Raw genomic sequence first — 21773 nt, 5'->3', positions numbered from 1 at the left:
AACAAATTATATAGACTGGGGGGCTTAAACAGCCAACATTGATTTCTCAGAGTCCTGGAGGGTTGAAATCTGAGATCCGGGAGCCAGCAGGAGCAGGTTCTTGGTGAGGGCTCGCTTCCTGGTTTACAGACAGCCACCTTCTCATTGTGTCCTCATGTGGTGAAAAGAGATCTCTGGCCTCTTCTTTTAAGATATTAATCCCATTTATGAAGTCTCCATTCTCATGATCTAATCACTTCCTAAAGGCCCCACCTTCTAATGCTGTCACACTGGGATTAGGGTTTAACATGAATCTTCAGGGGACACAAACATTCAGTCCATAGCACTTTCCCTTATGCTTCCCCTCACCCTGCTTCTTCCACTGCTGCTTATTTCCCCTTCCAATCATAAGTATTTCTGTCATCTCCTCACATCTTCGTGTATATGCTGGAGGCAGCATATAAATAAATATATCGGTGGGTGTTTGTGGTTTGTGCATGGAGTGGAGTCTCTGGGCTTTTGTAACCGTGGGACTCGTGATTTAGCAAACCCAAGGCCCTGACTGTGTTTGCTCCTCCTTTTGCTTTAGTAAAGACAGTGGCTCTCTTCTTTCCTGTGTCATTGACAGTTGGCCAGGCCAGGACTTCTGCTTTTTCAGAAAACTGCTTACTTCCTAGTCAGTATTCAGAGCCCAGTAACTGCTTGTGAAGTTTCCCTTCTCCTCAAGGTTATCAAGACTGCGGAAATGATGTCAACTTAGGCCTTAGTGGTTTCTTTCCTGAATTATTGCTCCACCTGGAGAAAACCCTATTTTCAGCCTCAAATAGCTTCCAATTCAAAATCTACACTCCTGCTTACTGCCCGAGGATCTTTCCAAAATGCAACCTCCTGGCCAAAGGGAGGCAGCCCGCCATTGTCTGGGGTCTTGCTCATGTCTTCCACTTCCTCTTTCAGCCCTTTGTGTTTTCAGCCCTCCCGCAGTTCCCTGAACCCTGTGCCTGGTCCCATTTTCCTGCCTTCACGCATGTCATTGTCTCTGCCAAACTTCTCCTCTCACCCCTCCTTTAGTCCACTTTGCCTGCTGATTAAACTCTAGACCACAGGGAGTTTTAGAGCATGGGTTCTGGAGTCAGGCAGGCTGGGGATCAATTTGTTTTAATTCCATCAATAGTTCCTCAATGTCTTACCTTCTCTGTGACCCTGGGGATATAATTCTGCCACTATTAGCTGTGTGGCCTTGGAAAAGTTCACTAGTCATAACATCTTTATCCCTCAGTTTACACATCTGCAACATAAGAATGATGCATGTAAAGTACTTAGCCTGGTGGCCTCCACCAACATGAGGTGTTATCATTAGTATTTTCATCAGTCTTTAAGCCTCAACTTAGGCTTGGTGACTCCTTTTCCAACAGATCCAGATACCAACCTCACCATCGTCTGACTACTATGTCCCTGGTGCACAATGCCTGCCTTCACTACAGCCTTTCACACAAAGCATTTACCCTGTTGCTTAATTGTCTGATCGTCCCACTCCCTTGGATGAGAACTGCATCTCTTCCATCTCTTATTCTGAGTGGCTTGGCTAAGACATTCACTGACTCCATGGGGAAACTTCACCTACAGAGGAAAGAGCCATCCTCCTGTGGGCAGGTGATGTGTCCTTGTTCTTTCCCTGACGTGCCCAGTCCTCTTGCAAGTGACTTGAAAGGATGCACCAGCCTGGCTGCAGGCAGAGGGTGAGTCTGGGAGACAGATCAGCTGTGGCAACCTTTATGCAAGGATGAATTGGAAAAACCAACCCTGACCAGTCCATTTATCTCACATCTTGCTTCTCATCCTGCACTGAAAATGAATGGGATACTAGTGGTCCTGACGCCATGGGAAAACCTAGAGTGACAAGATCAGCACTTCCAGCATCCAGTCGTTCATTCTCTTTTACTTATTTTTAATTTTTGTGTGTGTGTGCACTTCAATGTCCCTTATTTTTAAAAGTGAGGTCAAATTGAACAAATGGCCCTGGTGACTAGAGTGACCATCTGGACCTCTCTGGGCAGCTCTTTGGGTGGCAGTTGTAGGATCAGGTACTTGCTCAAGCACTGCATCCTCATCACTCCCCAGCTTAGAGTGAGGCCAATTCAGATGCTTAATCAACTTCTCTTTTCCATCTCCTGTAGTTCAAACGGCATTTTGCCCCCATCTCCCTCCAAAGTGGCAGATATCACAATGCCATGCGTTTGCACAAGCCAGTCCCTCTAACAGCAGATGTGATCCTGAGGCTGGGCTCCTGAGTTGCTCCCCACTTGGGAGCCCTGTATGGGATGAATTGCATCCCCTCAAATTTATGTATTGAAGTCCCAACCCCCAGTACAGTACAGCCCCCTTATCCAAGATTTCACTTTCCAAGGTTTCGGTTACTCTCAGCCAACTGCAGTCCAAAAATATTAAATAGAAAATTCCAGAAATAATTCATTAGTTTGACATTGAGCATCCTCCTGAGTAGCATGATGAAATCTCGTGCTGCCCAGCCCACCAGGAACACGAATTGTCTAGAATATCCATGTTGTCTCTACTACCGGCCTGTCCGTCACTTAGTAGCTGTCTCATTTATTGGGTCCAAAAACCATAGTATATGTAGGGTTCAAAACGATCTATGATTTCAGGCATCCACTGGGAGTCTTGGAACGTATTCCTAGCAGACTGGGGGGGGACTACGGTATCTTAGAATGTGACTGTATGTGGAGATAGGGTCTTTTTTTTTTTTTTTTTTTTTTTTAAGACAGAGTTTCGCTCCTCTTGCCCAGGCTGGAGTACAATGGCACGATCTTGGCTCACTGCAACCTCCACCTCCTGGGTTCAAGCAATTCTGCCTCAGCCTCCCAAGTAGCTGGGATTACAGGCGCGTGCCACCATGCCCAGCTAATTTTATATTTTTAGTAGAAACAGGGTTTTTCCATGTTGGTCAGGCTGGTCTTGAATGCTTGACCTCAAGTGGTTCACCCTCCTCAGCCTCCCAAAGTGCTGGGATTACAGGTGTGAGCCATCATGCCCTGCTGGAGATAGGGTCTTTAAAGAGCTGATTAAGCTAAAGTGAGGCCATGGAGGTGGGCCCTAATCTGATATGATTGTGTACTTATAAGAAGAGGAGATGAGGACACAGATGTACACAGAGGGAAGAGCACATGAGGAGACAGGGAGAAGATGCCACCTAGAAGCAAAGAAGAGAGGTCTCAGGAGAAACCAGCCCAGCTTCCAGAGCTGTGAGGAAATAAATCTGTTATTTAAGTCCCCAGCCTGTGGTGGTTTGTTATGGCAGCCCTAGCTGACTAAGACACAGCCCGATTGGTTGGTTCTGACACTTCTTACCACAGTTCACTGCATTCTCTTCACTGAATTGCAATTATCTGTTGGCGTATTGGGTTGGCCCGCTGGGGTGACAGGCCTGGCATATGCACTTTTATTATCTCTAGCACTGAGAAACCCTGGCATTGATAGCTGCATGCGAAGTGCTTGCTGAATTCATGAGAGCTACTGCTGCAGTGAAAGCTCTGAAAGTGTCCAGAGAGGGACAGGAATCTTCTCTTTGGGCAGAAGTGATCTTTTCACTTCACTTGCAAAGTACATCAGATGGAAAGGTAGCCCAGGTGTACGGTGTTGAGGAAGGGCCTACTGGAAGCTGCTTTTCCTAATTTTCAGCTGGTGAGGTTTGATGATTTGGTAGACTCACTGATCATTTTGTTCTTTTTTGGGTTCTGTGGTGTTAGTAAATGGCTATATTTAGATTCAATTTCTCTTTCTTGTACTCTTTGTTGTTCTGCCATTCTCTTCCGCTCCCAGTCCTGGCCCCACCGCTCCTTCTTCCAAAAGCTCCCAGTGGCCCTCCCAGACCTGCTGCAGGTGGAGAAAGTGTTCAGCTGCTGGTCCCCTCTCCCCTCCCACCCCAACTCCAACTGAGCACTAGCGGCTCACATCTGTGGGCCTTGCTTTCCCCATAAACACACATGGGTGTACTGCAAGGGCTTACCGCAACTCTGGTAGAGCACTTCCAAGCCGCTGTCGCTACAGACCACGTGTGTGGGCCAGGCTTTCCCACCGCCGCCTCCACTGCAGCTGGGAAAAATCAGAGTCCAGAGGAAGAGAGTGGCTGTGAAACCCTTCATGGTGGGGGCCTGTATGGGACACACAGAAAAATAACCGGCCAATAAAAAGCCTGTAAAATTTCTTCCTCTCCCCTCACCAAGGCAGTTGGATGTTCAGTTTCACTTCTCAAATTTTAGACTCGCTGGGAACCACAGTCAGAAGTAAAAGGCTGAGAGCAGAGGCATTTGAATACTGTTCCCCCAGGACCTTGAATCTACAGGTGTGGCTGGTCTGGTCTGGGGTAGGATGCGTGCTGACTTTCTGCTTTCACAGGGAGAGGGTCAGTAGTGATGCGTGAACTTACCTCTTGGGGGCCCCTCAGAACAGCCTCCACCCCCAGGTGAGGCTGTAAACTTGGGAAAGACAAAGCGCAGGCCACCATCTGTTTCCCATCTCCAGCCCCCGAGTCTCTGCAGGCTCTTGATGCAGGCTGTGTATGGACCCAGGGACCTGGCTGCAGCCAGCAGGCAGCAGTTGATAGCACGAGGGCTACAGAATGACATTTGGAATCTGGAATGAGGCTTTGGCCCTATTGTCACTTTCCTCTCCTCTGGCTTTGGCTCTGCTCTTAGGTTTGGGATTTTAGCAGTGAATTGTCCAGCTGCAGAACAGACCTTGTTTTGGGAGCTGCAGATGTGGTCTCTGGAGATGAGGCAGAGGCAATAGCCCTGAGAAGTGAGCCGTGTTCTATTTCTGGGTTTGGCTTGGTAGAAAAAGTAGGAAGGGTGGGGAGGTGGGGCCACCCTTAAGGAGGCTGGTTTGCTGGTTTTGGTGTTAGTGGGATCATTGACATCACATCTCACTTTCTCTTCAAAGCCAAGATTCTGTCTTCCTTCTTCCATGTATCTCTATTCTGCTGCAGGACAGCAAGGTTTCTCAGTCTTGATTCCTCAACCCCGCCCCAGCTTCACCTTAATGTAAGAGGACCAGAGTCAGTGCCAAGGTCAGCAGATTTCAGGAGCAATAGAAAACACTATTTTCCCTGGGAGGAACAGCATTTTTCTGAATGCACTAGGTAAATTTACTATTTCTGCTGATGGCTAAGCAAAAATTAGAGTTAGCTCAAAACTTTTTTTGAAATAGGTGGAACATAATTACCAATAAATTAATTGGTAAATAATTTGGATTTCTTGATAGACATCAGAGAGTGGTCATTTGGAGAAGGAACAGTTGTGGATTGATTATTTTTAGGTACCTCTGCAAATAAGTTCAGTGATGATGGCTTTCAACAGCAGTTCTCAAAGTGCGGCCTGGGAAGATGACAGCCTCAGCTTCCACTGGGGGCTTGTTAGAGATGCAAATTCTGGGCTACTCAAGACCTATTAAATCAGAAACTCTGGGGGGCGGGACTCACCATTCTGGATTTTCACAAGCCCTCCAGGTGTGCCTGATGCAGTCTCAAGTTTGAGAACTGCTGGCTTTTACAGAACATAAAGCGAAGGTTGAGCCCCAAGGGAGTGGTGGGAAGTTGCTCTAAGAAGAGACAAGGTGGCCCCTCTGGCCTGTGTGAGCGGAAGGCAGCTGCGCTGTGAGCAAGATCTCGGGAGATGAGAGTCTGAAGCTTATGGTGAGAGCAGCGGCCCTGGTGGAAGCGTGGTAGCCCCTAGAAGGTCCAGGATGGAACACAGAAGCTTTCCCTTGGGATATGTGAGTGCTCCAGCAGTTGTAAAGAGAGCTCTGAACATATGTGAGTGAGGAGAGCAATTGAGGGTGAGAACTTCCTTCCCTGCAAAGTGCGTCATGATTGACACTGGAGGAGGAGTCCAGGAGTGCAGGGCAGGGAGCAGAAAACCTAGCAGAGAGCTGTGGGCAGCTGTGGCAGGGAAATGGTCTTAGTATGTTCTGGCTGCCATAACAAATACCTTAGACTGGGTGGCTTAAATGACAAGCATTTATTTCTCACCATTTTGGAGGGTGGAGGTCCAAAGTTGGAGATTAAGGTGCTAGAAGATTCAGTGTCTGGTGAGGGGCCTCTGGTTCACAAATGGTGCCTTCTGGCTGTGCCCTCACATGGTGGAAGGGGCGAAGGGTTTCTCTTAGGCCTCTTTTATAAAGGCACTAATCCCATGTATGAGAGCTCCATTCTTATGACCTAATCACCTCCCAAAGGCCTTTCCTCCTAATACCATCACCTTGAGGCTTAGGATTTCAACATATGAGTTTGGGCAGGGCCACAAACATTGGCTTTATTGCAGAAACAGTGTCATCTGAAGACAGGGGTACAGATTCTTGAGAATCAAAAGACCTGGAAATGAAAGGAATCATAATTCAGGGATCGCACTAGCATTTAGAAATATTCCAAATGGACCAATCAGGAACCTTGTGATCATGGTGACCCTAGGACATTGGTCTTCAGGCTAGAGTGGTCTTCAGGGCATCAGCGTCAGCTGGGGGGCTTGTTAACATGCAGATTGCTGGACCCCACCCCAGAGTTTCTGCTCCTGTGTGTCTGGTGAGGCCTGAGAACCTGTGTTTCTAACATGTTCCCAGGTGATGCCAGTGTTGTTGATCTGGGGCCACATTCTGAGGACCTCTGGTTTAGCTTACAGAATTTGATCATTTGCAGAATGTACAATTAAAAAAAATCTTCTTAATAAAATGTTTTGTTTTATGACAGATGGCATTTTATATAACACATATATAACATACCCATATAGGATTAAGAGTAAGCCACATTCTCTAAGGAATTCTACTTACTAGTTCTGCCTACTGAAAATGGGATTTGATTGAAATCATTAGTTATGGCCGTCTAGTTCAGAAATCAACCCATAATGATGTCTGGAGTTCTTTAACTAGAACCTTTATAAAGACAGCCAGAGTGTTCTTTGAGAATGTCCTATTCCCTAATTATAGAATAAAATTAGAATCGGTTTATGGTAGTTATTTAAAATATGGTTATGTCTACGTAATGGTAACCAAACACACACATACTGTCAGGCTTTGATGCTGACTTCTAATCTCTTAGCAGGCTGTAGCTGAAGAAGCTGTGCTCTGGTCTCATTCAGATTTCTTTTCTACTTTTTGGACAATCCTCCTCTTCTTCCATGTCTCACACTGCTCTCCTTCATATATATATATATATAATTTTATTTTATTTTTTTGAGACGAAGTCTCACTCTGTCACCCAGGCTGGAGTGCAGTGGCATGATTTCAGCTCACTGCAACCTCTGCCTCCCGGGTTCAAGTGATTCTCCTGCCTCAGCCTCCCAAGCAGCTGGGATTATAGACGTGTACCACCATGTCCAGCTAATTTTTGTATTTTTAGTAGAGACAGGGTTTTGCCGTGTTGGCCAGGCTAGTCTTGAACTCCTGACCTCAGGTGATTCACCCACCTCAGCCTCCCAAAGTGCTGGGATTACAGACGTGAGCCACTGCACCCACCCTTGCTTTCCTTTCATAGAGGTCTTCTTGAGGACGGTGCCTTTCTTTTCTTGCAGAGTAAAAATATTCTTATCAAGATGACCATCCCTAAAGCCGTTCTTAAGGAGAAAATGTTTGTTTGAGGAGAGACTTAAAGAATCAAATGTGAGACTCTGGGGGCAGGAGTCCAGCTATGTATGTAAGCAAGTAAGGGTGAAGCTGTGCCACAAGAGAAAATACAATACTCCAGGGAGTGAGGGGAGAAAAAAGAAAGGCCTGGAGGGGAGAGAGGAGAGGAGAGGAGGAGAGAAGGGGAGAGGAGAGATAAGCAGGTGATTGGCTGCTGTGGAGTGGAGGGAAGCAGCCTGCCAGCAGGTGGGACAAGCAAAGGTCCCTTAGGAACAGATTCTGCATTGCTTCCTGTGCAGTGTGCAATGTGACAGCCCTCTCCACTCTGTGACCCACAAAAGGTCAGGGAAAGGGGGTTTGGGCCAATGTAACCTACATTACATGTGCCAGTAGATGGCAGACAGTCCTAACTAGTCTTGACGCTACACAGTGATGATGTAGCACTCTGTCTCCAGTGGCAAATGTACCTTCCTCATCATTTGTATCCGACTGTGGGTGCTCTCCTCTCATTTCCCTCAGATCTTTATTATATTAGGCAAAAATTTCCCTTTGCATAGCGCTGCTACTTTGGTTTTTTCTCTGTGGCCTGTCTGAGTTTCTGCCACACTGCAGTGGGAAGAGACAGGTTTGATCACATCCTGCCTTTGTCTTCTAGATCAGGGGGTCCCTAACCCCTGGGCCACAGACCAGTACTGGTCCATGACCTCTTACAAACTGGGCAGCACAGCAGGAGGTGAGCGAGGCTTCATCTCTATAGCTGCTCCCCATTGCTCGCATTACCGCCTGAGCTCTGCCTCCTGTCAGATCAGCAGTGGCATTAGATTCTCATAAGAAAGCAAACCCTATTGTGAACTGTGCATGCGAGAGATCTAGGTTGCACACTCCTTATGAGAATCTAATGCCTGATGATCTGTCACTGTCCCCCATCACCCCCAGATGGGACCATCTAGTTGCAGGAAAACAAGCTCAGCCCTCCCATTCATTCTGTATTATGGTGAGTTGTATAATTCTTTCATTATATATTATAATGTAATAATAGAAATAAAGTGCACAATAAATGTAATGCACTTGAATCATTCCAAAACTACCCACTATCCACCCTTCTATCCATGGAAAAATTGTCTTCAACAAAACTAGTCTCTGGTGCCAAAAAGGTTGGGGACTGCTGTCCTAGATTGAGTGCAACCTGAAAACTGCTCCCCTCCTGTGTAGAAGTCAGGAAACCATGCAACTTCCTGTGTAACACTGTTTCACAGCCCCCTTGACTGACTGCTGAGGTTTTACTTTTTAGTTAGTTTCAAACCCTATGTTATATGGGCTATACACGTATTTTGTGGAATTGATGCCAGCCTACTAAGCTTTTCAGTAGTCTTTCTCACGATCTCTCAGACTTCTGGAAGACTCACTGCACAGAAAGTGTGAGATGCCCCCAAAGTCTCTTGGGCTCTTGATGTCACATAATCTGTATATGTATTTGATAGAAATGTATAGAAACCAACTGTATGCTTTCTACACAACTAGGGAAAATTCATCTGTCTGCTTGCTTCAGGTTCTCCCACTCATTTATCCAACAAATATTTATTAAGCACCTCCAAAATGCTTACATTTCCCAGCACCAGGAATACAGCAAAACAAAGTTCCTGTTCTCAGGGAGATTAACTTTTAGTGGGAAAAGACAGACAATATTTTTAGTACAATTGTTTAATAAAAGAAGAGACTGCTTTTTGAAAAGCTTCTTGGATTTCACAAGGAAAATTGGAGTAAGTGTTCTGAAATACTTTCAGCTGGCTGTTTATTGTGTATATACAATAAACTTTTTTTCTTTAATTTGCTCCAGACTGGTAGCTCATTAGGCCTACTACAATTTGTCCATTGGAGCAAACACGTATTGATAACCCTATCTTGGACACTACCCTTTCCTCATTTCCTTGTTACCCCATTTGTTATTATTATTAATATTTTATTATTCTGAGGACATACTATGCAAAGTACTTTTCAAATAAGTCTACATATACTATGGCAAACTACAAACAGAAATGGTTTTTGTTGGTGTGAGGAACACGTATGCTGGGCCGGGAAAGAGGTGAGTACTTATAGATCAGTCCGATCAATTTTCCAGTGATGAAAAGAGCAACACATTGCAGCATCTGGTTAAAGTCAAAGAAATTGCTCTGAGCTGCAGAGAGGGGAGCTCTAGCGTGAAAGGACTGACGACCATTGTATAAAAATCCTCTGCAGCATGGGACAAATTAGCAACTTGCAGCTATGACTCTGTTCCTCAAATTGAGAATGCTCTCAAGATCTCATCTTGATAAGAATGAAGTGATTTCAGTAAGCCGAAGGAAAAACACTGGGGAGGGAACCAGAAATGGGATGAAGAATGCAAAGAGTTCTTTTACGTGCTATGAAGAAGGGGTCCTCATTCACTGTTGTAGATAGGATCCCAGGCTCTGGCTTCAGTGTGTCCCTCCAGTTCTGGCTAATTCCAGAATTTCTGGCTGCCATTATGGGATTTGCACTTGGCACATATAATCCAAAGTATTGGAGATCCCATTTTGCTGGACTGGCAGGTGGTATTTGGAATAAAATAATTTACCTATTCTCTGGATCAGACTCTTAGGGATGTTGTTGAGTTCCCTCTCCTGGCAGTGGCCGGCAGATCCACCCAGAATTCTTCTGAAGAGGTCTGATGAGGTCTTGTTCAGAATTCTTCTGAAGATGTCTTCTAATTCCCTGTAGTAGTAAACATCCTAGCAGTAATTTTGACATACAAATAATGGCCTTTGAAGTAGCCTGTGTTTTTTCTTTTTTGGATTGAATAAGAATATCCGAAATGCACTTCTGTTATGTCTCAGGCATTCTTCTAAGTGCATTCCATGTATTCTTTGATCCATTTCATCCTCACAGCAGCCTTACAAGGTAAACACAGCTCTGTCATCCACTCTTTACCCCACCTCCCTGCCCAACCCCTGGCTCTGCAACTCTGAAATAAATTCCAAAGTCTTCCAAGTCTACAGAGGAGGAAATTCTTTTTTTTAAAGGTAGTTCTTTTGGTGGAAAAATCTCATCTAAACTGATGAGACTGTTTATAGTTTTAATTTATCTCAACTGGGTGTATTTCACTATGTTTTGCTGCATACTATTAATGTGATTGATTTGTGGTTAATGGGTACTGTACCAGACTCCGTTAGGAGTGTTATAAAATGTGAACTCTATTACCTTTCTAAAATCAAGAAATTCTGATTTATAAAACACATCTGTACCGAAGGATTTCAGGGAAAGGATTCTGGGCCTGTTGTATGATTCTTGTTCTCCTGATGAGGAAACTGAGGCATAGTGAGTGACGCATCCAAGATCATACACACAGTAGGGCCATTGGAGGTCAGACAGTGAAACTCCCTTCTTCAGTTCTTGACCTCTGAGAAAACGGCCTCTTTCCTACTACGCCCAGTGGTTTGCTTATCTTCCACTGTAGTGATAGCCCACAAGTGATCCCCAAGTGCTTGGAAACTGAGGGGACTTGGACCATGTAGCTTCAAGAAGCAGGTCTCACCCAAGCTTCTGTCTCCCTCAGATGGAGGGAGAGGGGAAAGGCTGAGGGGAGAGGGCTCAAAGGGAATGGCCTTTGTGGTCTTGTAGGCCTGGGCTGCATCTTGTCTCTACTCTGTGGTATCAGTAGGTCACATAAGTTACATTCCCTTAATGTAGGTTAATTTACCTATAAAAAATCAATCATAATAAATGGTAACTTTTATTACTATTTTTATTGTTAGAGGAAACTAGATATCTGGAGGTGCCTTAAAGCTGAAAGCTTCTTTGTCATCTAGTGTGCAGACTCAGCTGGGGCCAGGTCCTCCATAGTGAGGGACTACATGGATGAACCTATGTGATACATAATAGCTTCTCATTAGAAATGTAAAATAGCCACGGAAAACAGGACTCAGTTCAGAAGAGAGAGGCTTGGCAGATGGCTCCTGCAGGAGTCTGATGAGTGGTGCCTTTCCTGTCTCCACTGCACACAGATGAAAACAAAGGGTCAGATGACATCACGGCACGCTGCTTCATAGACACAAATTGAGCTCTCTGCTTTTACTTTGAAGCTTGGATATGTGGGCTGCAATTGTAAGGTTATTGATGAACAAAGCAGGTGTTCAAAGGGTGGAAGGGGAAGCATTTTGTACTTTTCAGACAAAATGGTGCTTCATTGGCTGTGGCCTCTGCTCACCCGGAATTTGTATTATAATGTCCCTGGTCCTGAGCTGTCACTTCTTGCCCAAAAAGCTGGGCTTTCTTTTGTTACTGTTTTTGTTGTTGTTATTTGTTTGTTTTAGAGATAGTCTTGCTCTGTTGCCCAGGCTAAAGTGCAGTGGTGTGATCATAGTTCATTGCAGCCTTGAATTCCTGGGCTCAACTGATCCTCCCGCCTCAGCCTCCCGAGTATGGCACTAAAGGCATGCACCACCATACCTGGCTAATGTTTTATTTTCTAGAGACAATGTCTTGCTGTCTTGCCCAGGTTGGTCTCAAACTCTTGGCTTTAAGCAATCCTCCCCCCTGCCCCGGCTTAACCTCCCAAGTAGCTGGAACTACAGGTGTGAGTCACTGCACTCAATCTTTGTTACCATTTGGAAGTGTAAGATTGGAAACTCCCCATCAAAGTCACTGAAATAGTATTTCCACTTGATATGGTTTGACTGTGTCCCCACTCAAATCTCATCTTAAATTTTCACATGTTGTGGGAGGTAATTGAATCATGGGGGCAGGTCTTTCCCATGTTGTTCTCATGATAGTGAATAAGTTTTACTAGATACAGTTTTATAAGGGGGAGTTTCTGTGCACAAGCTCTCTCTTTGCCTGCTGCCATCCATGTAAGACATGACTTGCTCCTCCTTGCCTTCTGCCATGATTGTGAGGCCTCCCCAGCCATGTGTAACTGTAAATCCATTAAACGTTTTTCCTGTATAAATTATCCAGTCTCAGGTACGTCTTTATTGCAGTATGAAAACAGACTAATACATCATTTCATTCCACGTGTGTGTCACTGCCCTAGATGGGACTTCTCATGGCCTCCTGGGATCCACCATGGCCCCCTTCCAAATCCATTATCCAGTCTACACCCAGAGCTATCCTGTCTGAAGGCGCATCTGCCAAGGGATGCCCTGCCAAAGCCTCTCAGTGCCCCCTGCACGTACCTTTGAGGCCTCGCATGCTTTGGTCTCTTCCCATCCAGCCTCCCTGGCTGTGGGCACTCCAGCCTTGCTGCCTGCTCTCCCCTGCCCTGGCATCTCTAGTGCCTATCCTGGACTGCCCTTCCTTACCCCTTTTTTACCATATTGCCTGCACTTCCTTGAGAGTTCAACTCAGTGCTTGCTTCCTGAAGAAAGATGTTCTGTCAGGGCTGGGGAGCTCCCACTGAACTCGGCTCCTATAGCCCTGTGACCCTGCCTCTGCCTAGCATGGCTCAGGGTCAGTCATTTGATGAAGGTCAGACTCCTGCATAATATGCCAGGGAAGTTTTCTTCCTCCCACTTTCTTCCCATCCTTCCTTCCTTCTCTTCCGTTCTCTCTTTCCCCCTCACTATTGTGTGCCCCATGGCTAGCACATAATATATATTTCGCAAGATATTTTAGGCTAAATGGACAAAATATAGAGGATGAGGACAGCCCCACAAACTTGTCTTTCTGGCTGGGCCACTGGACCTCTGCATTTGGCAGGCAGGGCAAAGTAAGGTGGGGTGAGGGGCTTCCCTCCCAGGCAGTCTGGCCCTCAGGAAGTTAACAGAGTGTGAGTGTCATCTTCCCCTGAAAGTAGATCACAGTTCCTTTTTCCTCTTTTTTTGCTTCTCATTCTTAAAGTAGTATATTCTAATTGAAGGATTTGGGGGATATACAAGCTAACCCTCCTCTGTGGGGCAGGGGAACTGGAGAGACAGGAAAAATAATCACCCATAATCTCAATACCTAGAAATCACTTTTATTTACATCTTGTGAAATATCTTTCCAGTACACACATACACACACACACACACACACACAATCATACTGTACCAACTGTATATGCTATAACATTATAGTACTTCCATTGGTCACTTAGAATTCTTCCATTACTTGACTTTCAATAACTACATAGTATTCTACTGTATGGGTTGACCACAATTTATTTAAACACTTTACATGTCGACACTTGATAACAAAATAATTAATAGGAGATGATGCTACAGAGTTGCTTTATTGCTATATTTTTGTGCAGCTATGATTATTTTTTCCATCTGGTAAATACCTGAAAGGGAAATGCTCCGTGAAAGAGTTACGAGATTATTCAGGAGTTTGATACATGCTATTATGTTGTTTTCTAGATACATTGAAAAATTTAACCATCTCATCAGCCGCTAGGCATTATCATTTTACAGTATTTTTTGTTAAACATTGTCAGATAAGTGTTAAACATTGGTTCTCCTTATATTCACTTGGGTTTTTTTTTCAGCACTGATAGAGTTGAATTTTTTTTTACATTATTATTACTGGACATTTGTGTTTCTTCCTTAGTAAATTTCTGTGCAAGGCTATTACCCATTTTCTATTATAAAATCAAATTTAAAGGAAAGAAACAAAAGGTAAGAGATTGCTGAATTTAAACCTTCATGAAAATTCAGTTTAACCAGCATTTATTGTTACCTCCTTTTTGCACAGTGCTTTTTATTCTTGGACAAACATTGTTATGATCTGGTGCAGGTAAAGAAAATCCTACAATGAGATTTGTTTGAGACTTAAGTTTACTCTGTGGATAATGCCGGCTATTAATAAAATATACAGTGCTTATAATACATAAATAAAAAGAAAAATAAGTCTTGATCTAAGGTATTGCATTTGCTTGGGTGATTTGTCTATACTTATAGATGATTAACTTGGAAGTCATGTGGGAAAAGGTGAATTCAGGTACATTGTTTAGTTGCGACTCTTCAAGGCAAACACATGATTGTAGACTGCTGCTGCAGTTTTAGCTGCAACTTGGAGTACGTGGTCTTCTGGAGAAGCTTCTGAATGTTTGGTAAAGGCAGTTGTGTTTGTGTGACCAATTCCTTATATGTTTTTTAATTTTTTATTTTTAAATATGGGTGTCACTCTGTTGCCCAGGCTGGAGTGTAGTGGTGTGATTATGGCTCACTGTAGTCTTGAACTCCTGAGCCCAAGTGACCCTCCCACTTCTGCCTCCCAAAGTGTTGTGGTCACAGGCATGAAACATTGTGCTTGGCCATCAATTTCTTATATTTTGAACAAATATAAAATAGTATTGCTCAACAATTGCTCTCTCCCAAGCACTCACCAGCAGAGGACACTATATAAAGGAGGTTGCATGAGGTGGGTGGAGTTGGACAGACAGACCTATGTCTACATTCTGGTCTCACTAATGACTACTATGTCTTTGGCAAGTCACAGACTCACCGGCAAAATGAAACTTATTAAATCCATGTTTCAGATTTGAAAACAAAACAAGATAAAGATTGAACATGTATCAAAGTGTTTTATATATATATATACACACACCCATATATATATGCATATATATATATATATACACACACCCATATATATATGCATATATATATATATATACACACACACACATATACACAGAGGGAGAGACTTAAGTTTACTCTGAGGATGATGCCAACTATTAATAAAGTATACAGTGCTTACAACATGTAAATAAAAATAATTCCTGACCTAAGAATAAACACAGACGACTTAAACACACACACACCTGGTAGCCCTCATTAGGAAATAGTTCAGTCTAAATTAGAATTAGGGGTTGGGACATATATGTGAATGAACACAATACTTTAAAAAATGCTAGTGAAGAAAATATCAACAAAATAGTAGTTTCTAACAGTGTTGAATATGATTCAGAAGATTGGAGCTTCTTGGTGAACAAGTAGAAAACTACTCTTTAAAGTTAAATGAGAATAATTTACTTCCCACTCATTGGTAGACTAAAACCTACTAATTTTTGGAGAGAATGGCTGGATCAGAACTATATCCATAATTTTTCCAGGCTGCTTGGTTGCTGTGTTTTGCCAAGGAAAAAGATTACACATCATAATACAGACACTTATATAGCAACATTTATATTTTTACCCTAGTGCTTCTGTCTGCTTTATTTCTGACTCATAACAGCCATTTAAATAGGCAGTCAGATATTACATGTCTGGCTTCTCTGTTAAGGAAAAGGTCTTTGTCATACACCCGTGAATCCTTTCTGTCTTGAATGGTGTCTGGACTATAGTTCATGGTCTTAAGAGTTAGTTAACTGAACAATAATAAAAAGAAACAACTAACTTACCTTTTTGAGAGCTTCCAAGATGCTAGGCACTGTATTTTACAGGGATTTGAGGCAGGTATTGTATAATACCCATTATACAAATGAGGAAACTGAAGTTTAGGGCAATTAAGTAATTTGTCTAAGGTCTCAAAATGACAGAGCCAAGATTCAAATCCAGAGCTAATATCCAAATCCATTTTCTTAACTATAACACTTTATTGCTCCAAGTGAAGAAACTAGCAGGCAAACAAGCTCTATGGTAAAGGAATAAATGCAGGATAAGAAAGATTAGTTTTTTTGTCCATGTTCACAAAGCTTACCATTAGTGGGTTGTAACTAAATGTCTTTGTTTGCATTACTCCATCTGCCACGGCTTCCTTGGCTGTACCCTGTTCCAGCTGGAGAAGATAACAGATTAATCTGTCATGCCTAGAAGTGTTATTTGTCCTATCTACTCTTTGCTTTTTTTCATTCCCACCTCCTCCTGGATTAATATAGTATTTATTCGGTATTCCATTTTATCTCCTCTAGCAGTTTAACTATACCTTCTTGTTTTATGTTAGTGGTTGCTCTAGTGTGTTGTCCAGTAGGCTAGCCCTTTGCTATGTTAGCATGGGAAATACGGCTGAAATGAACTGAGATGTGTGGATGGTTTAACATACACACTAGCTTTTGAAGGGTTAATGTAAAACGTGTAAAATAAATAGCTCACTAGTAATTTTTTATGTTGATTACATATTGAAGTTATAATATTTTGAAGATCCTAGGTTAAATATAATACTACAATTTCCTCTATTTCTTTTATGCTTTTAATGTGGCTTCTAGAAAATTTAAAGATATATATGTGGCTTGTATTTGTGGTTTATATTATATTTCTATTGGACAGTACTGCTCTCAAGATAGTATATTAATAGAATATAAAATATATATTATAACAACATAATTCAATTAGTAATTATATAATTATCAATAATTATATATGTAATAATTATATAACTAATACAATAATTATATAATATAATGGGTTAATAAGATTTATTAGAATAATTAGAATATAATACAATAATATAAGAAACTTGCAATTATACATTTCCACTTAACCACTCCAATTTCTTATTCTATTGCGTGTATTTAACTTCTATATATGTTGTAAATCTCCCAGTACATTGTCACTATTTTTTTTCTTAACTAGTTATTAAGAACTGTGAAGTTTTAGAGACTTCATCCCACTTGCAAGCTAATAGGTACCCTGTTGCTGTTTGAGGGATGTTGACAAGAGACATGAGACTCCTGGGTCCAAGGACTTTATTACTCAAAGAACAATGAGCAGCATGAGCATCAGAGTATTTGCATTGACTCCTCTTTCCCCTAAGTTCCACATGGGCGATGTGATGGGCCCAGATAGATACTACACAAGCAGAGGGTTTGTGATGAAGCTAAGGAACTCAGGGTCTAGTGCCTAGCATGTTTTGAACAAGCAGTAAACATTGCAGAAAGCAGCTAACAGGCCAGTCTTCCTACCGTTAGAAAGGGAGTAGTTTCCTAGTATTTACACTGTCATTACCTTGCTACTTAGTCACCTTCATGATTAGCTACAGAAATTGCTGCTTATCAGGAGACAGATAAACTTTGAAATCTGGCACATGCCGCAAGAACTTGCGTAGATGGCCATGATGCATGGCATACTACTCAACACAATCAATTGCCTTTAAAAAAAAAAACAAATGAGGAAAAAAATGATTTCATATTTACCTACGTTTACCATTTTTGGTGCTCTTCATTCTTTTGTGAGAATCCTAGTTTCCATATATTATTTCCCTTCAAACTGAAGAACTTCTTTTAATGTTTTCTGAAGTGTAGATCTGCTGGTAATTAATTATCTCAGCTTTTATTTTCCTGAAAATGTCTTTCTTTTACTTTTTATTTTTGAAGAATTCTTTAACTGTATATAGAATTTTGATAACAGTTATTCTTCCAGAACTTTAAATATTTTGTTTTATTGTATTCTGGTTTACATTAAATCTCATGAGAAGTTAAGGATTATTTTTACTTTTGTTCCTCTGCATCTAGTGTTTTTTTTTCTTTGATTGCTCTTAAAATTGCCTGTTTATTTTTGGTTTTCAGAAATTTGACTGCGATGTGTCTTGCTATGATTTTATCTGTGTTTATCCTACTTGAGGTTCTTTGAATCTCCTGGAGCTATGAGTTGAATTACAATTTGGAATATTTAAGGCTATTATTTCCTTAATTATTTTTTTGCTTTATCTCCTCTCTTTCTGGGACTCTGATTACTTGTATGTTAGACTGATATCACCACACAAATACTTAAGCTCTGTTTTTTTTCATCTTATTTCTCTCTGTGTTTCAGTTTGGATAATTTCTATTTGAAATTTAAAATATAATATTTTTTATTGTAAATAATGTTTTCAGTTCCAATATTTCCATGTGGCTTCTTTGATAATGTCCATTTCTCTGCTGAGACTACTCATCTGTCCATTCATTATGTTTATCTTTTTCTTAAAGTCCTTGTCAGCTAAACTCAATATGAGACATGTCTTTGTGTTTCTATTAACTGATATATTATGGGTTCCATTTTCCTGCTTCTTTACAGTGTCTAGTAATGTTTTCATTCTATGCTGGTCATTGTGAGAGTTTGAATTATGTGGACCTGCCTCAAAGAATATTGAATGTTGTTAACATAGTCTTGTTAGCAAAAAATCTTGAGTAGTAAACCCACGGCAGCTCAGGTTGATTATGCTGAAATTTGGTTTAGGTTTTGTTAGTGTAGGCCTAGAATAATCCTCACTATAGGGCTAAGAGGGGCTCTGTCTCTGAGATGTGTCTTTTCTTGGGTTTCAGTTGAATTCCTACAGTCTCTTTACTCTGGCTGATCAAATTCAAATGTCTGTCAATAATGAGTAACCTCCAGGATCTCTGTCAGTTCCCAGCCTTTCTTTAGTTGTTCTTTGTGAGGCTTTGCAGAATTTTGCCCTGCATAGTGTATAACTTTGTATTTAGCCAAACAGTCCAGAGGGCTCATGAAAATCCAGTTATCTGAATATCCCCAAACTCCAATCTTTGTTTTCTCACTCCAGTTAGACTGCTGCTGTGTTTTGGGTGCTACTTCCCTGTGCCAGGCAGAAAGTCAGAATAATTGAGGACATCACTTTGTATTTCTCTTATTTCAAGTATTACAGCCCCATGCTGCCTGTTGTCCAATTCTTGAAAATAATTGCTTTGTATATTTTATCCAGTTTTACAGTTGCTTAGGGTGATGGGTATGTTTGATGCTCATTACTTCCTCATGACAAAAAGCCCCTAGAAACCTTAGAAGATTATTTCGTTTGAACCTAAATTTGCCTGGTTCCCAAGCTGATCTTGCCACTATACCGGTAACTGGCAGATTTCACAACTAAATAAAATAAACAACTTTTGGTCAATATGTGAGAAACTCACAAGTAACATCACACTTAACTGTGAAAGATTGAAAGCTTTCCTCCTAACACCAGAAACAAGACATGGATTTCCACTTTTACCATTTCTATTCAACATAGTACTGGAAGTTCTAGCCAGAGAAAGTAGGCAATATAAATAGTAAAAGGCATTCAAATTGGAAAGGAAGAAATAAAATTATCCTGCTTAGCAGATGACATTCTTATATGTAGAAAACTGTAAATATACACATGCGCACACACATACACACATGCACACACTGTCAATGAACTTAATAAAGGTACTGAATACAAAAAAGCACACAAATACCAGCTGTGTTTCTATTCATTAGCAACATACAATCTAAAAAGGAAATTAAGAAATCAATTTCATTTACAACAGCATCAAAAATAATACAATACTTAGGAATAACTTTAACCAAGGAGACAAAAGCCTTATACACTGAAAAGTACATAATATTTTCAGAAGAAAATTAAAGAAGACATAAATAAATGGAAAGACATCTGTGTTCTTGGACTGAAAGACTTAATATTGTTAAAATGTTAATACTACCAAAAGCAATCTACAAATTCAGTGCAATCCCTATCAAAATCCTAATGACATATTTTGCAAAAATAGAGAACTCATCCTAAAAGTTATATGAAATCTCAAGAGACCCCCAAAATCCAAAACAATCTTGAAGAAAAAGAACAAATTTGAATGACTCACGCTGCCTGATTTCAAAACTTACAACAAAGCTACCGTAATCAAAATATGTGTTATTGGCATAAAGATAGACATATAGACCAATTAAACAGAAGAGAGAACCCAGAAATAAACACTCAAATACATGGTGAATTTCAACAGGAGTGCTGCTAAGACCACTCAATGGGGAAAGACAGTTGTTTTAGTTTTTGTTTTGTTTTGTATTTTTTTTTAAGCAAATGATGCTGGGAAAACTGGATACTCGTATGCAAAAGAATGAAGCTGGACCCTTACCTTATACATATACAAAAATTAACTCAAAGTGGATTGAAGACCCAAATTTAAGATCTAAAATGATAAAAACTTAGAAGAAAACATAGGGAGAAATCTTCATGACATTGCATTTGCAATGATTTCTTGGAAATGATACCAAAAGCATAGGCAAGAAAAGAAAAAAATAGACAAATTGGACTTCATAAAAATTAAAACTTTTGTGCATCAAAGGACCCTATCAACAAAGTGAAGAGACAACTCACAGAATGGGATAAAATATTTACAAGTCATATGTCTCATAGGGGATTTATATCCAGAATATATTAAAAAAAAAACCCTTACAACTCAAAAACAAAACAAATAATCCAACTCAAAAACAGGCAAAAGTGTGAATAGGTAGAAAGAAGATCTATAACACATGAAAAGATGCTCTGCATCATTAGTCATTAGGGAGATGTAGATTAAAGCTATGATGAGATACTACTTTACATCCATTAGGATGGCTAATTTTAAAAAACTGGAAAATAAGTGTTGACAAGGATGTGGATGTGAATTCTCTCAAATGCTGGTAGAGATATAAAAGGTGCAGCCATTGTAGAGAACAGTTTGGTGGTCCCCCAAAAAGTTAAACATAGAATTACCGTATGATTCAGCCATTTCACTGCTAGGTGTATACCCAAATGAATTGAAAGCAAGGACTTAAACTGATACTTGTGCACTGATGCTTATAACATTATTCACAGTAGCCAAAAGGTGAGAAAGAAGCCAAATATCTATCAACAGATGAATGGATAAACAAAATGTGGTATATACATACAATTAAAAATTACTTAGCCTTAAGCAGGAGTGAAATTATGATATACTACAACATGGATGAACCTTGAAAACATTACATTCAGTGAAACAAGCTAGACACAAAAGGACAAACATCGTATGATTCTACTTATATGAGGCACTTAGAATAAACAAATTCATAGAGACAGGATGGTGGTTACCAGGAACTTGGGGGAGGGGAAAATGGGAAATTATTGTTTAATGGTTACCGAGTTTCTGTTTGGGGTGATAATAAAATTCTGGAAATGATGGAGATGGTTGCCCAACACTGTGAAGGTACTTAATGCCACTAAATTTTACACTTAAAAATTGTTAAAATGGTTTCTAAAAATGAGGCTAAACTAGGATTGCTAACTTTTTATTTTGTAACAAATGCCATTAGAAAAGAAATTCCATCTACTATTGCTATAATTGTTTTAAAAGAAAGGATAGTTTAACACCAAAAAAAGGTGATGAAAGATACAATCTTAAACTAAAGGAGTGTTCTTCACAATCAGGACAGTTCATAACCTCACACTGACGTTTATATTATTATTGTTTGTTTGTTTTGTCTGAGTCTGGTAAAAATGTTTCATGTATCTGTGGGCAAGCATTTCAGAACTAC

The 21773-nt window shown here is 41.0% G+C and overlaps 1 protein-coding gene and 1 long non-coding RNA gene across 2 annotated transcripts in view, besides 3 other annotated features; one reads left to right on the top strand and one right to left on the bottom strand.

The window, feature by feature from the left end:
• LY86 (lymphocyte antigen 86) overlaps positions 1 to 4151 on the bottom strand; it is a 66263-nt gene extending 62112 nt beyond the window's left edge. Inside the window, exon 1 of the mRNA NM_004271.4 lies at positions 4001 to 4151. Within this exon, the coding sequence (NP_004262.1) occupies positions 4001 to 4136 (136 nt within the window). The 5' untranslated portion in view covers positions 4137 to 4151. The remainder of the gene's footprint in view (positions 1 to 4000) is intronic.
• The window catches only part of LY86-AS1 (LY86 antisense RNA 1), a 276362-nt gene that overhangs the window by 29956 nt on the left and 224633 nt on the right, over positions 1 to 21773 (top strand). The window lies entirely within an intron of this gene.
• Positions 5625 to 5754: an enhancer, noted in NCBI's record as "active region_23924". NCBI's record gives its function as "activates an Ori minimal core promoter by ATAC-STARR-seq in GM12878 lymphoblastoid cells {active_cell/tissue: GM12878}" and the evidence as "EXISTENCE:reporter gene assay evidence [ECO:0000049][PMID:35858748]".
• Positions 5765 to 5854: an enhancer, noted in NCBI's record as "active region_23923". NCBI's record gives its function as "activates an Ori minimal core promoter by ATAC-STARR-seq in GM12878 lymphoblastoid cells {active_cell/tissue: GM12878}" and the evidence as "EXISTENCE:reporter gene assay evidence [ECO:0000049][PMID:35858748]".
• Positions 7679 to 7788: an enhancer, noted in NCBI's record as "active region_23922". NCBI's record gives its function as "activates an Ori minimal core promoter by ATAC-STARR-seq in GM12878 lymphoblastoid cells {active_cell/tissue: GM12878}" and the evidence as "EXISTENCE:reporter gene assay evidence [ECO:0000049][PMID:35858748]".

The sequence above is a fragment of the Homo sapiens genome, chromosome 6 (assembly GCF_000001405.40).
Source record: "Homo sapiens chromosome 6, GRCh38.p14 Primary Assembly".
NCBI lineage: Eukaryota > Metazoa > Chordata > Mammalia > Primates > Hominidae > Homo > Homo sapiens.
The sequence above is the reverse complement of the archived record's forward strand: the minus strand, read 5'-3'. Positions and strand labels throughout refer to the sequence as shown.